The sequence below is a fragment of the Homo sapiens genome, chromosome 13, assembly GCF_000001405.40.
Source record: "Homo sapiens chromosome 13, GRCh38.p14 Primary Assembly".
NCBI classification, from domain to species: Eukaryota; Metazoa; Chordata; class Mammalia; order Primates; family Hominidae; genus Homo; species Homo sapiens.
Window position 1 is genome coordinate 81,579,284 of NC_000013.11, and position 15,107 is coordinate 81,594,390.

General features: G+C 32.3%; 1 long non-coding RNA gene across 1 annotated transcript in view; it reads left to right on the plus strand.

Moving 5' to 3' along the window:
• Positions 1 to 13,432, plus strand: part of LOC105370283 (uncharacterized) — a 59,397-nt gene extending 45,965 nt beyond the window's left edge. Inside the window, exons 3-4 of the long non-coding RNA XR_942125.2 lie at positions 9,733 to 9,804; positions 13,363 to 13,432. This is a non-coding gene — a long non-coding RNA (uncharacterized LOC105370283). The remainder of the gene's footprint in view (positions 1 to 9,732; positions 9,805 to 13,362) is intronic.
• The last annotated feature ends 1,675 nt before the right edge of the window (positions 13,433 to 15,107 follow it).

Genomic DNA, 15,107 nt, shown 5'->3' on the forward strand with positions numbered 1-15,107 from the left:
CACTGTTTTCTTTTCTTAGGTTGATACTATATATTTTGAAGAACTCCTTTATTTAGTATATATCCCCTTAAGCATAATTGTAGAGCAGTATGCCTTCCTTTCTCATCTTTCTGCCCCACTCCCTCTTACATTTGTATTTTCTTCTGTGTAGCTGCCAGGGCTTTCATGCTTGTTCTTTAAGCCCTTGTTCATAATTTTTATTTCTCTTAATTATATTGAAAATAATATTTTAAAGAAAATTTACTAAGTTTTCAGAGAAATGAAGTTAACTCTCTGCACTTCTATTATTCCTATAACCTGTTACAAGATATGTACTGAGTTAAAATATTGAGTGTAATTCCAAAGCATTCCTTCAATATATTACAATAACAATGTATTATAAATAGAAAGATTTTGGCTTTTTACAATGGAGAATTATTTTAAAAGTTCAGGTTTGTCATAAATCACCAGTTATAAAATACTATTTCTTTTGTTCCATATTGTTTGGGCCTTAGCCATCCTAACCTCAGGTCCTGGTTAAGATGCACAGTACTCCAGTCGGAATGACAGATTCTTTAATTATGCTGTGGCAGTGGTTTCTTCGCAGTGGAGTTGGACTGCCCCAGTAAGACTCTAAATGTAGTAAATGAACTGGTTTGTTTGCTTGCAGCCAAAAACTGTTTTCAGCTGATAAGTTTGATTGCTGTCTTTTAGTCAATGCAAAATCGCTGCAGGGAAATTGCTATAGTCTTCTTTTTAGACCCTAAGCTTGCTTTGCAAAGCTCTGAGAAGACTAAATAAAGTAAAAGACTTTGGAGTAACTTTAAAGTGAAAAGAAAATGATTTAGGGTAATGTAAATAATATATTATGTGGCCAGAACAAAAAATGATCGACTAATTAAGCTCCATAAAAGAGGAAAGTCATCTCTCAGAAGCAATCAACTTTAGTTAAATATGTGAAAAAATAGGTGACCGTTGTTATAGCACATTTAAATTATTTTATTACTCTAACTCTAAAATTTTGTAATGACCTCTTTATTTTTTATAAATAAAACTAAAATGATCATAGCTTTTTTCTCAATCTAAACAAAACAGTCCTTTTAAACTTGTAATGCAGAATTTGATCATTCTTTACTAGAAATAATGTTACTGTAAAATGGTTCAAACCATCTGCAGTTACGTGAATTATCCCAATAGCATTCAAGGTAGGAATAGCTAATTATAAGACTGATGAATAATAAGTAAATAGCTGTTTACTCACTATGTTATAAGAGTTTTCAATATTCAGAGCTGTGTTTATCAAAGAATAAAGGAGAGAAATAAAGGTCAAGACAACATTTAAAACTCATCTGAACAGACTATAAATGTGTGTGTATGTGTATGTGTATATATATATATATATATATATATATATATATATATATATATATATATAAAATTTTTTTCAATTTTTGGTTACCTCTAAGAATAGCTGTAAATACTACAAATTATACCTTCTCAAACACAGTATTTTAGTATGCTTTTGAGTTTTAGAAATCTGAAGCAAGGATAATAGTGATATTAGTCTATTTTCACCATATTATACAGAATGTTTTCAATCTGGAAATTCCCTTTCTTGTCCAGGACATTAGAGCATAAAAAAGAAATAGGTAACCCTCCAAAAAAGTAACTGAATGGTACATGGATACATTCTAGAAAAAGGTGGCATTTGAAGGACTAGGGAGAGCCATTTGAGGTTTTATTGGGAACAAATAAGGGAGATGGTAAGTGGAACTATTGTTGACTTCCTGTAGTAATTGAAAGGTGAAGGAAACTGATACATTCAGTGAAAGAATAAAACCAGCTTTTCTTTATCTGTGAATGGAGGTTATGAATGAGAGCAGAGAACACAAAATATAACTGAAAATGGCCAGCCAAAAGCATTTTTGCACTTTGGTAGCAAAAAAAAAAAACCAACCAAAAAACAAAAACAAAAAAAACCTGTAGTGAAAAATGTAGTTTATTTAAGTAATTGCTTCCAAAGGAAGCACTGCTTTCAGAAGAATATTGCAGCTTGAAGAAGGAGCTAGAGTATTTCTCAAGTTTTATGTATAATTTACATTTTTTGTCAAATAAATATTAATATAAATGTTTTTATTGAGAATATTTTTAAAAATTACTAATATGCTTTTACTTTTTGCATTTATAAGCATAAAATGTACACACTAGTCCACTAAAGATATTTATGTGATAGTAGAAATATTGGTATTTGTATTCTGTTTTCAAACTGCTACAAAGATACTACCTGAGACTGGGTAATTTATAGACAAAAGAGGTTTAATTTATTTACAGTTCTGCATGGCTAGGGAGGCCTCAGGAAACTTCCAATCATGGCAGAAGGCAAAGGGGAAACAAGCACCTTTCTCATAAGGCAGCAAGAGTGTGAGAGAGGGCACAGGGGAAACTGCCACTTTTAAACCATCAAGATTTGTGAGAACTCCCTCACTATCATGAGAACAGCATGGGGGAAATGGGCCCCGTGATCTAATCACCTCCCATGAGGTCCCTCCCTCAATATGTGGAGATTACAATTGGAGATGAGATTCGGGTAGGGAAACAGAGTCAAATCACATCAGTTTCTATTGGTTACAAAAGAAACTACAAGGTAAGACTATGATAATAATGACTTACACAATGGAATTATAGATTTAGACAGCAGCATTTAGATTCAGGGATTTGGTAGAGAGATCATTTTTCCATATTATCATTTCCTCCTTTTAAGCAAATCCGGATTCAAGGCAGAAAGGACCAACTCATAATGTTCTCCTGCAATGTGTTGAATAAAACTTTTAACATCTGTGACAATTCTGTGAAGGCTATAACAAAGATGTATACAAAATAAGAGATATTTAAAAATCCTACTTTTAGGCATAGAGGATTATAAGAAGGAAAGCAAAGAATGAGATCTGGATTTTTTTTATTCTAGACTTTGACTCATTGATGAGGAAGTCTTTTAGTAAGTGAGGTTGACACTGGGGGTGGACTGAGGATCAGACCCTTACATTAGAGACAATGGGAAAAGGTTGCTTTGCAGGGTATTCCATACTAAATCGAGGTTGGGTCATATCAAAGTACATCTGGCAGGGCTTAGCTTAATGATCAAGCAGAGGACAGTTTTTGAGGTTTTAATTTTGCCTTTCCTTCTTGTGTACCAATGACATGATCCAGATATTGCTGACACTGTGCCTAAGGAGTTTGCCTTAGAAAGCTGGTTCTATAATGTGCCTGCAGAGCAGACTTTCAGAGCTGTGCCAAAATGGTACCCAGACCCCAGAGGGAACATAGGATTGGCAGGAACAAGAGATGGACACTAAGCCAGGGAGCAAAGAGCACCATATGCTCATGTTTTAGACAAGAGAGATTTAGAGGACAAATAGCTTTCACATGGAAAAAAGATAGCATCCCAGAAGATGGAGGTCATTATGCCCAAAACCTTCCACCTTCCTTCTTTCAAACATATAGGCACCTTCTTGAACAAAGAAGCAGGGATCGTGCTTCCTCACGGAGGACTGAGAATTTTCTCTAGGACAAATAGAAATTAAAGTTTAAATTATTGCATCAGAATACAGTTTAAATTAGATTATGAGTGTATGTTGGAGTGTGTGCTGTCATTGAGAAAGCTCAAGGTAGGTCAAAAGCAATTACAATTTTCTAGATAAAGAAATTGTTGTGCTGGTTAAAATCTGTGACTGTGCTATACACTTAGATGGTTTTTAAAATAAGAGTGAAGAGAACATTAATTAGGTGTGAATAATATCCCCACATCTAAAACGTGGGAAAGAAATAAGTTCTAGATCTTTAGGCCAGCACCAGACACAGACTACAATGCAGACCATCTACAAATGCTAAGTGATATACATCATTTTTATACTATAAATCCTCTTTTGTTGCATAACACAATCTATGTATATTTGCCATTTATTCTAAATTTTATTTTTGCATTATTTTCAAATACATTTTTCTTCTCTTATATTTGCTTCACATTTTTACCCCCATGATTTGAAACTCTGTTTTCTACTTCTAAACTATATTAATACCTGTATTGCAGTATATGCTATGAAGAGACATTTTAAATGGCTTTTCAGTTATTACTTATGTTTCTCAAAATCTTATTAAAATTATTTCATAAAAAGATAGATTATTTGGGGAGCCCCAGATTTAATGAATTAGAGTAAAGGAGAAGTTGCCAGTTATGTGTTCTATTACTTTTATTAGTTATTTTTATTTTAAATTGGTGCCTCTTATGATTCTTATTATTAGGTTGACTTGGGAAGTTCTTTGCCAAAAAAAAAAAAAAAAAAAGGAATATATCTGTTAATTTCTCCCTAAACATTCTTCACATACTGATCAGTGTAAGCAGTTTTAAAATAATTATTAGTTTTTCTGGATAAAGAGAGTGCTATATTTTTTAAGCTTCTTCCATGGGATGCAATACTTTCCCTGGTTACAAGTTTTGGACAAATCTTTTTGTCTTGGAAACCTAACAGTCATTGGTTTACAGGTGGCAAAGTGTTAGGCATCAAGTGGTGAGAAAAATTCCAAAGTGACTTACGAAGAGTCAGGATGTCCTCTTGGTAAAGCCAGTCCATGTTTATCTTCCTGTCTTTATCCTTTCGTGAGACATGAGGGCACAAGTCTGTAAGCGCTGATCCAAACTGCTTTATTTAAGCTCACGCCTTAATCTTATAAGTGCCATAAATAAGCACACAGAGCTGGAGGTTTATTTCAGAGAATTACTACCTAATAAATACTACCCCAGATATGGTTATGTAATGCTATTAGAAAACAGGCACTGAAACTTGAGTTTAGGCCATCTTACAAACGGACCTCGTGGCATCTGTAATAAACTACTCTAAATAAGATCTAGTGATTTATATCTTATTCTGAAATTCACTTCAAGAAAAATTATTCTTATGAGGCTGCTAGTAAATCTCTCAACACTTTTTAAATTTACTAAACAGTTCTTTTTATTTTCAGTCAGTGTTCTAAGCATTTACCATGCCATTTATGTCAATAAGAGCTGAATTAAAAATTAACAGTTTGATCTTAGTTTATGGAGACTATATTTTCTTCTCTGACTATGCTCACTGATGGAATGATGGAGAAGGAACAACAGTAGTTCAGGAGTGTGAAGCTCCATGCAGTTTATAGGCTGATACTCTTATGGGAGACTATAAATTCCTTACTTATATGCAAGCTTTTATAGAGATGCAAAAATATGTTCCTTCTACTTAAGAAATGTCAATTTGTAGAAGAAGTTCAGAAGTCAGGATATCCTGTTATAAAGCTCCTATTTAGAAGTTTAGGGAGAGCTGTTCTTCTAAATCATATTATAGTTTTATGATTATGTTGTTTACCATCTAGTTTGTTAATAATATAAAACAAAATACCAATCATTTATGAAATGATACAACATTTGACATGGTCCTTATTATGTCCAAAAAATATTTTATCTTTATTCTTTAACATTATATTCTCACAGAAAGTTAAGTGTTATCATCATTGTTTCAAATCCTCTCTGATGTCTATGCCATCACAAAAAACATTCAGAATAATAACTGGGATACTTATCTGATTGCCACTACCATTCTCACTCGCTCACTCCACCATCTAAAGATGCCTTGAGTCCAGCATCTAAAAAAACCTGACTGCTCTCTGCCTTTAGAAGCTGGATTTATAATCTATTCCAAACATTAATCTTTAAAACAATTTTATTTATAAAGAAATTCCTCTCAATAATCCTGAATGCTTGTACCATTCAGCAAATATCCTCTGCTACCATGTTTCATCAGATGGTTGAACTAGACCTTTGACAACAGAAACCTGCTGGAAAAAACCTACATAGATAAGCTTTCCTAAGTTGTTTAATGATAAACTTTTTTCTATTGAACAAAAGTTTAAAATCTGAGGCAGATGATAACTGTACTTAACAGTTATAAAATTAAATTAAAAAGCCCTTCCTTTAAGGCTAACTCCATTGGTTCATTCATAAATCACACCGAGATTGTAATAATAGTAATGCTTTGAGGACAACATACATGCATTTATTTAGGAAACACACATTTTACGTATACTTTGTATTCATTAGTTCCAAGAATATATAAAAATTAGAGTTAAATATGATTTAACTGTTTTTTAAATGGTTTATAAAAATATAAATGTCTTTCCAATATTCATAGTAACTATGCTTATTAAGTTATAAAATACCTTCTTTATTCATTCATCCATGGATGCACATTTAGTTTGTTTCGACATCTTAACTATTGTGAATAATGCTGCAGTGAACATGGGAGTGTAAATATCTATTTGAGATCCTGGTTCCTATTCTTTTGGATAAATATTCAGAAGTGAGATGAGGGGATCATATTGTAGTACTATATTTAATTTTGGGGGAAACATGTACTGTTTTTCATAGTGGCTGCACTGTTTTGCATTGTTCACAGTGTACAAGGGTTCTAATTGTTCTACTTCTTCATCAATACTTTTGTGTTTATGATAATATTCATACTAACAGGGATGACAGGGTTTCTCATTGTAGAATATTATTAAGCCTTGAAAAGGAAATAAATCCTATCATATGAACCTTGAGGATATTGAGCTAAGTGAAATAAGAAAGTCACAAAAGGAAATATACTGCATCATTCCACTTACAAGAGGTATCTAAAATAGTCAAATTTATAGTAGCAAAGAGTAAAGTAGTGATGTTTCAGGGTATTAGGGGAGGAGAACATAAGGAATAGCTAATGGGTATAAATTTTACTTACTAAAGATGAATAAGTTCTACAGCTCTGCTGTGCAACATCGTGCTCATTGTTAACAATACTGTATTATACACTTAAAGCCTTTGTTAAGAAGGTAGATCTCATGTGTTCTTACCACAGTTGAAAAGAAATCAAAGTGCATGTAGTGTTGTATCTAATATTTCTTAGGCAAAGAAATTATTGGCCAGGTGCGGTGGCTCAAGCCTGTATTTCTAGCACTTTGGGAGGCCAAGGTGGGTGGACTGCTTGAGCCCAGGAGTTCGAGACCAGCCTTGGCAACACAGTGAAACCTCGTCTCTACTAAAAATGCAAAAATTAGCCAGTCTCATAACTTGGTCTCCAAATAAATAGACTAAAATTTTAAAAAGAAATTAACATTATTTCATGAGAATTATGTAATAAATAATTTGAACTTGGTATAAATCCAAATTTAGATTATTGTATAATTATGAAACAAATTGGATTTTAAAAGGAAATAAAAACTCAACTTTTTTATGTAAAATATTTCAAAAACTGATTCATCTCACAAAATCATTATTTTATGAGCATATTTATGGAGAGTGGAGTATACACCTAAGTTTAATCTTTGAAACTATTGTGTGTCTTCATATTGTTTACTCATATGTGAAACATAACCTGTCTAACTAATGATGTACCAAACCTGAGCCCCAAGTTATCCTCTCAATTAATGGGCACATACTCATAGCTCTCAGCTGCTATTCTTTTCCCCTGACTTTTTCTGCACATAACTATCTTCATCCTGTCTCTTGGTCTTCCTGGCAACTAAACAGAATCTTTCTTATTTTTCCCTAAACTGTATATTATTCACTGCATGTTCTTTAAAAATTGTATACCTGGAAAATCACATGAAAAAAATTAGATTGTTTTAGGTCTAGAGTAATACTTCCATTTATCCCAGAAGCAATTTCAGTTGACAAAGTAAACACCTATGTTCTAGGAATGCAATGAACTGATTTAACAGGAGTGATTATGTCTGAACACCTAAGTCCTATTTCAGGTTTTTTCCTCATCAAATTGCATAACATCTCTGTGCCTCTAATACTTTAGCTACACAGCAACCCTATATAGGAATGTATTTTCCAATTATAAGAAATAATTTTAGGTAATTTCAATCTAGTAACTTAAGGATATATGTGTTGATATTTAACAATCATTTCTATGGGGATAGTTAATAATTATTTAGATTCTGTGGTAGTAAATCTTTCCATAAGAGAGTGACAAAGGATGAAGCTAGCAGGTGTGAGCCTCTTTCAATTAGGATTTGATTGCTATTGAAGGTACTTTAGAATCAGGAAACTGAGTTTTATATCTGTGTACTTTCTTATATAATGAAACTAATTATTCTAAAAATAATTGAGCTGACATTTCTGTGGTAATACCATCAAACCCGAGTGTCATAATCTTTGAAAAGAGAAGGTTGAAGTTTAAATGATTATTTCTTATTTATAGTGCAATAATTTGGCAGAGCCTGGAAATTACTTTGTAGGATTAGAATAGATGTTAGTCAAATACAAACAAGATTTGAGAGAAATAATTGGAGTTTAGGATGCAGGTCTAATTAAAGAGTACTTAAGAACTTGCATAATCCATTTATTTGTGTAGAAAATACGCAGTAACCTTTAAGGAAGTTTTGATAGCAAATATACGCCATTCAGAAGGGCTTGTTGGGTATTCCAGATACACTCAACAATTACCTAAGGAAAACACATGTATTATATTCATTTCTTTCCAAAGGTGGAGCCTAATAGGGGATCATGTATGCATGATGCCAATCATGGCAGTTAGACATATACAAAAATGTAGGCTAGAAAGTGTTTTTTCTCAAAGTATGGTCAATAGACAACCCAATTATGAATAATATTGGGTGCGGTGCTTATCTAAAAATAAGATTTATGAATCATCAGAATGTAAGTAGAGTCTGGGATCAAAATTTTATTTCTCAAGGACTTCAGAGATTCCTAAGAATATTAAAATTTGAGAATTGCAGATTAAAGAGACAACAAACATTTGAAGTTATCTGACTACAAAGATAAGTAATGCCTGTTATATAAAAGTTATACAAACTTTGGTCTTTTTTTTACTTATAAATAAAATGAGGTACCTAACAATGTAGACTCATCTCTCTCATACGGATTTTTGATGAACAAGGAGAAAATACATTTTAAACTGTTAACTGACATACAATGTTATTTGTTGTTTGAATTTGTTTTTAAGATTACCAGTGGAATACAGCAAAAAAGTAATTTGTTTAACCAACAAAATGAAAATATTTGTAGTATGTATAGCTTCTTCCAGCATCTAGTGCATGATATCATTGATACCATAATAGTGAATGCTTTTGTTGGTAAAATATTTTCTAACATTTCTACAATATCTTTCATATATTATCATTCAACAACAACAATATTGACTCTTTAGTAAATGATGAGACTAGAAATTAGTAATAATTATCTCATATACATGCCCTTTAATAATAAATTATTGATGATTTTATTTGCTTTTTCCTTGATATCTAACTACTAGGTCAGAACATTTTAACTCAGAGTAATAACTTACACCTTCTCTACAGCAATGTTTTTCAGATTATATGCATATGATATCTAAAAGCAAATATAGATATTACAGTAACAATGCAAAGTAGGTTTACGTCTATTGTTATGGTAATGACTCCTTTACTTTTAAGCCATTGGGTGTGATGGTAGTACATATGCATTGATTTATTGATTCATTTGAAAAGCACATCTTTTCAGTCACTCTCAGATTGCTTTAAATACATTAACCCATCTAGTCCTCATTAAAGTATTTAACTAAGGAGAATACCCCAACTTCTTTTCTGATCAGTGGTATAAATTATAATTTGTTATTTCAATTAAGGAAAATACCCATTGTTTCTCGGAGACGATATTTTGTGATATTACTTTCTTTTCTTTAGGAAAAATGTTATCACTGTTGTTTTCCACCATCTTTACTAATGTGAGTGCATTGATTTCATCAAAGATGCAAGGTAATTTTGAATAATAACAATGACTAGTTTTAGAGTGGAAGGCTGATGAATCTCCCATGTCAATATAATAATACTATTAATTTAACCCTTGCTTTAACCTACATTACACATACAAATATACACATATTTATATTTTCATTCAAACGGATCAACTTTGTATTATTTTATATTATAGGTAAGAAATTAAGGCTTAGAGACACTAACATTTCAAAAGTCACACAAGTTAATTGGCAAAACTGTATTTCTAAGTCAAGAATTATTGACCTTTATATCCTATTTTATCCAATATGTTTACAATTTTAATATTTCAAATTATGACAGAATTTTAATCATTAATATATAAAGAAGCAGAATAAAATAACTGAGCTCAAATATTTGAAAAGTAAGAAACACACCTCTAAATAATGCATGCATTAAAGAATGAAACTTTAAAATGATATTTTAAAGGAACTTAAAAAATTCAAAATGAATGTTAACAAACATACCATTGTTGGGGAAATAAAATTAAAAATAAAATCTTCCAATATAGAAAAATTCTCCACAAAGGTAGAAAAGAAAAAAAATAGTTTAACTATTGAATAAGTACTAATGATGCATATCACAGACAATCCACCAAAAAGATTGCAAAATCATAAAGAAATTTCACCCTTTTATGTAGCCAATCAAATACAGCCCATTACATATGTGTTCTCAAGATAAAAAATATGCAGTCCTCAAGTAAGAGCATGTGTAACATGATTTGTCACACATATTTATCCTAAATTTACTCAGTAATTAGAGTAGTCATCTGTTAATTGACTTTAAAGAAAAAATAAAATTAGATCTTTATAACAGAAAATGGTTCTACAACTTGGAACAAGGTGCCCGCTGAAGTCATGTGCCTATTCTCTCACAGAAACTTGAAGACAGCACTGTCTTCTTTAATCATGGTATTTCAAGGAGATGGTTTGTAGGTACTTAAAAAAGACATTTTGGGGTCCTAAAGCTGGCAAGAGGCTTATTTAACTTTTAGAAAATTTCACATACATTTCAAAGAGACAAAAGAACTTCCTAAAGTTGGGGGGCGGAATATCTTCCCTTATTTGCACATCAGTAAATTATTATTTTTCTTATGTGATTATATTAGAAGTAGCAAAAACAAGACTCAGGAAATTTTATAGGTTTTAATACTTTGGTATTAGGGAAGAAACAAAAATGTATGAAATAAATGATCTAAAATCTGCTCTAATAGCTAAGGGAAAAAAGAACAAATTTAATCAACTGTAAGAGAGATAAAAAAGGAAAGGCAGGAAGAGAAATCAATAATATAGAAAAGAGGCCAACCATTGGGACAACTAACAGCCAAATGTTAGGTCTTTGCACTGATCAACAAAGTTGAGAAGCCCTGAGCTGAGTGATTTAAAAAAAAAAGGCAAAAAAAAGTCTATACTTACAAATTCTATATATGTTAAGGTAATTACCTATATAAACATATGTATGTGTATATATATATGTATAACTATGTATATGTATAAGCATTATGGCAATAAACTCAAAAACTTTTATTAAACCAATCTCATGAAAAATACAACTTATCTGAACTAATCCAATATGCCAAATAAAAAATTAGTCCTGTATCGATTAAAAGATTGAATTCATTTTCAAAAGCTTTACTTTAAACAGAACTCAAGAACACCAATTCTAAAAAAATTTTGACACCAAAGAGGAAGAAACACTTTCCAACTCATTTTGTAAAGATGAAAAATATATGGTCATTTTAATAGATGCTGGAAGAGCACAGAACAAGTCAATGACTAAAACACAAAGCAAAATAGGAATAGAGAGGAACTTTCTCAGGAAAGGGCCTTTACAAAAGTCTATGGCTAAAGTCTATCCCCAACACTCCACCATAGACCAGAGATTGACTCTTATTAAGCTCTTTCACAAAACTCCTTCATTGACTATTATTCTCTGTGCTCTGTGGATCCACCACCCTCTAGCAGGATCTTGTCTATTATTCTCTGTGTCTAAGTCTGAACTGAAGCTGCACAACTTTCATAGTCCACTTCCCAGAAGATTTGTTTTGAGATCAAATGAATTTTGTAGTTTTCTCTGTATTTTCTGAGTAGTTGTGCCTGAGTAACTTTAAATTTGGAAAATGCCACCAAAATAAGTACTGGGCAGAGAGGCAACTGAAGGTGATTCCTGAAGGCTTACTAACAATATGTGTTATAAGCAATGAGAGAACAGTGCAGTCTCACAGATATTAATTTCTCTGGAAATCAAGTTTCTACTTAAAGATCTGCCAAGACTGTGTACCACTGTCAAAAAGGATTTCATTCTATTTGAAACAAAAGATATATATTGCTCCTTATATTTAAGGACTTGAAAATGAATACAATTGTGTATGAAAGTTTCAACTATGTGTGTAAGTTCAATAACTTTCTCTACATTAATAAGTGTTATCTATATACTGGGGATTAAATATCTCAAAAAGCAACACATACATTTGTAGTATTAAAATACCTAATAGAAGAAAAGTTGAGTTTTATTGTAGTTGCACTTGTCTCTTAGAGATTGAATGTGCAAATGGACAAGGAGAGCAGCCAGACCACATATAAAAATAAAACTCTGACCCACAGAATTTTGTCCAACAGTCTGCAGACCGGAAAGCCAAACCTCAAACTCTGTAGCACTGCAGCACTTGAAATGGTCACGACTAAATTGATACCTGCCAGCTTTGTTATTTTTTCTCGCCTTTTTACTCCCACTTCCAACTTTGGATCAACCAGAGAAAGCCAAGTGTGTGCCCCCAACCAATCAGATAGGATGCCCCACTTCTAGTTAGTCCATCTACAGCTTCCCCTTGCTAACAACCTCCTATCAGGTCATACTAAAACTTTCCTCTTTTTTCTCTGTAAAGCTTTTACACCTACCTGCCTGTGTTTGAACTACTGCCAAATGCAAGTGATGGTGCATGGCTCTTTGTCACCCATGGCAAGTTCTGCATAAATTGCCTTTGCTTGTTCTCATTTCAGTGGTCTTCACTTATTTCTACATCTTTCAACTGAAGAAAAATATGCCACCCTATTCTAACCTGGTAGATATATGTTTCAATGAGCCACTTAACTTATTTTCTATTAAAATTAAACATTTTAGAAATGATGGGAGCATAAATGATATAATTAAATTAGTCAATTGGACATGTTTATGAGATTAGTGCAGGATGGCTGGAATTATTTATAATGACTTGTGGTTTTACTTAAATTGGCAGAAAACTCATTTCAATATTAATTCATTATTTATTCAATTACCTCAACATTAATTTGCTCAGGTGGGCAGAAACTTCATTTTTGCATTTATTTCATTTATATTGATTAAAATGTATAAATATTCTAAAACTGGTTTTCCAGAAATAAGTTTCAATAGTATAATGAGATTTGTATTTAAATACACATGAAAAAACATTTTATCTATTTATATTTGCAAGGCACCCTGTACTGGATTTGAAACTATTTTAAATTCAGATACTTGTTTTCTTTTCTATCTTAACATTCACACCATGCTTTTCTTTTCTAGCTTAATATTCACACCAGACTTATTGCCTTTGGAGGAAGTCCTGAGACTTAGGAACTGACTAAAAACCTCTCTTGAGGTATGTGATGGACTAGAAATCGGAAATCCCATGATAGAGAAACTGTCATCTATTTAAGGAGACTAAGAGAGTAGTAGATTAGGTCCAACAGTTGAGGAGAAGAAATTCAGATTCAGGACAAGAGTGGTGTTCCACTGGGAAGAGGTTATAAATCGCAGAGTAAACCTGGGCTGAGTTATTTTCACATCAGTTTAGGCTTATGGAAAAATATAAAGTGGAAGCCACTAACCATCCCTAAAACAGTCTGTAACAGACTCAGATTTTGGGGCTTCCAGTCCTGTATAAAATTGGTCCCACCTTCAGTTTCCAAAATGATTTTGTTAAAATCCTGCAAATCCGTGATTTTTAAGTGTGAATTTTTTATGATCCCTTTCCAATTGTATGAGTTGATTCGGAATGTCTGATTTTAGAATCATATCAGCTCCCAGTTTTCCAAAGTACCTATTTCAACTCTTAAGCCATTCTTGTCCTTTGAATTTTTAAAATATTCCTCCTCATTAAATCATATACTTGAAATGGTATTCTTTACATTCAGTGCAGACTAAGGTCGCATATTTAAATTGCCATGAAATAAACTTCTCCTAGAAAATAATTCTTGCTTCATTTATAAGAAAGAAAATGAAAGAAAGAAAAAGCTTTTCCTAAAAGATTTACAGTGTTAATTTATTTGATTTTAAATAAACAGCTGCTTTTCCAAAATTAATTAACTAGCTTTTCTGAAGGAAAGTCCAAAAAGGTGATTAAGAAACTTCGGGTGATTCAGTCTTCATGACTTAGTTCATTAAACAGCCAAAGGCCTTTGCAGAAAAGCATCATAGTAAGCAAGAAATATGTCTCATAATGTGAGTCTGGTTTATCCTGAGGAGTGTGGATTTTCCCAAGGGCTCCTTTCAAATTGGAGTCGGCTGGCTAAATGAAAGCAAAGCTTAGGAGCAAAAAATAGTAAGAATTTTCATAATGAATTAGAACTCATGAATTTTCTCAGAATTATAGTCAATATGACTTGATTGATATCTATTTGCATATAAAAATATTTTGCTACCATTCCAGTGTGATCAGAAAAGAAGGTCACTGTAACAGTCTTATAGGATTTTCACAGGTTGCATCCATAGTGCCATCTCCTCCACCTCTTTGGAAAATTGTGTTCCAATAAAAGTCCTGCCTTATTGGGCTTGGAGTGTTCTGGACCTTCTCTGGATCATTCCCAAGTCTGCTATAATTCTCTTGTTGCTCCATAGAAAGTTTTTTTTTTTTTTTTTCAATTACTCAGGCTTGCTTGGGTAAATTACTGTGTTATGTCAATGAAAACTTTAGAACTTTTTCAGACAAATCCCACTGCAAGAACATATTTTTCTGCTGATTCCTTCCCTGAGGATAATGTTTCTTTGTAAAGCCAAGCTATTGGTCTACTTTATACAGAGTCTGCTGGTAATAGTCCTGCCAATGTTGGTGATAGGGCCCCTTTCATTTGCATTTCCTTGAAAAATAACCACTTTGGACATTTCTATATCCGATTTTTCTGAAGAACCTGTTTAATTTTTAAACAAGTTTGTCTGTCATTTTATTATTGATTTGCAGGAATTTGTGCTAAGTTCTTGATATAAGCCCCTCTTCAGTTACATGTGTCGCAAACAGCTCTTTGCCTTGCTTCTTCATGCATTTGTTTCTG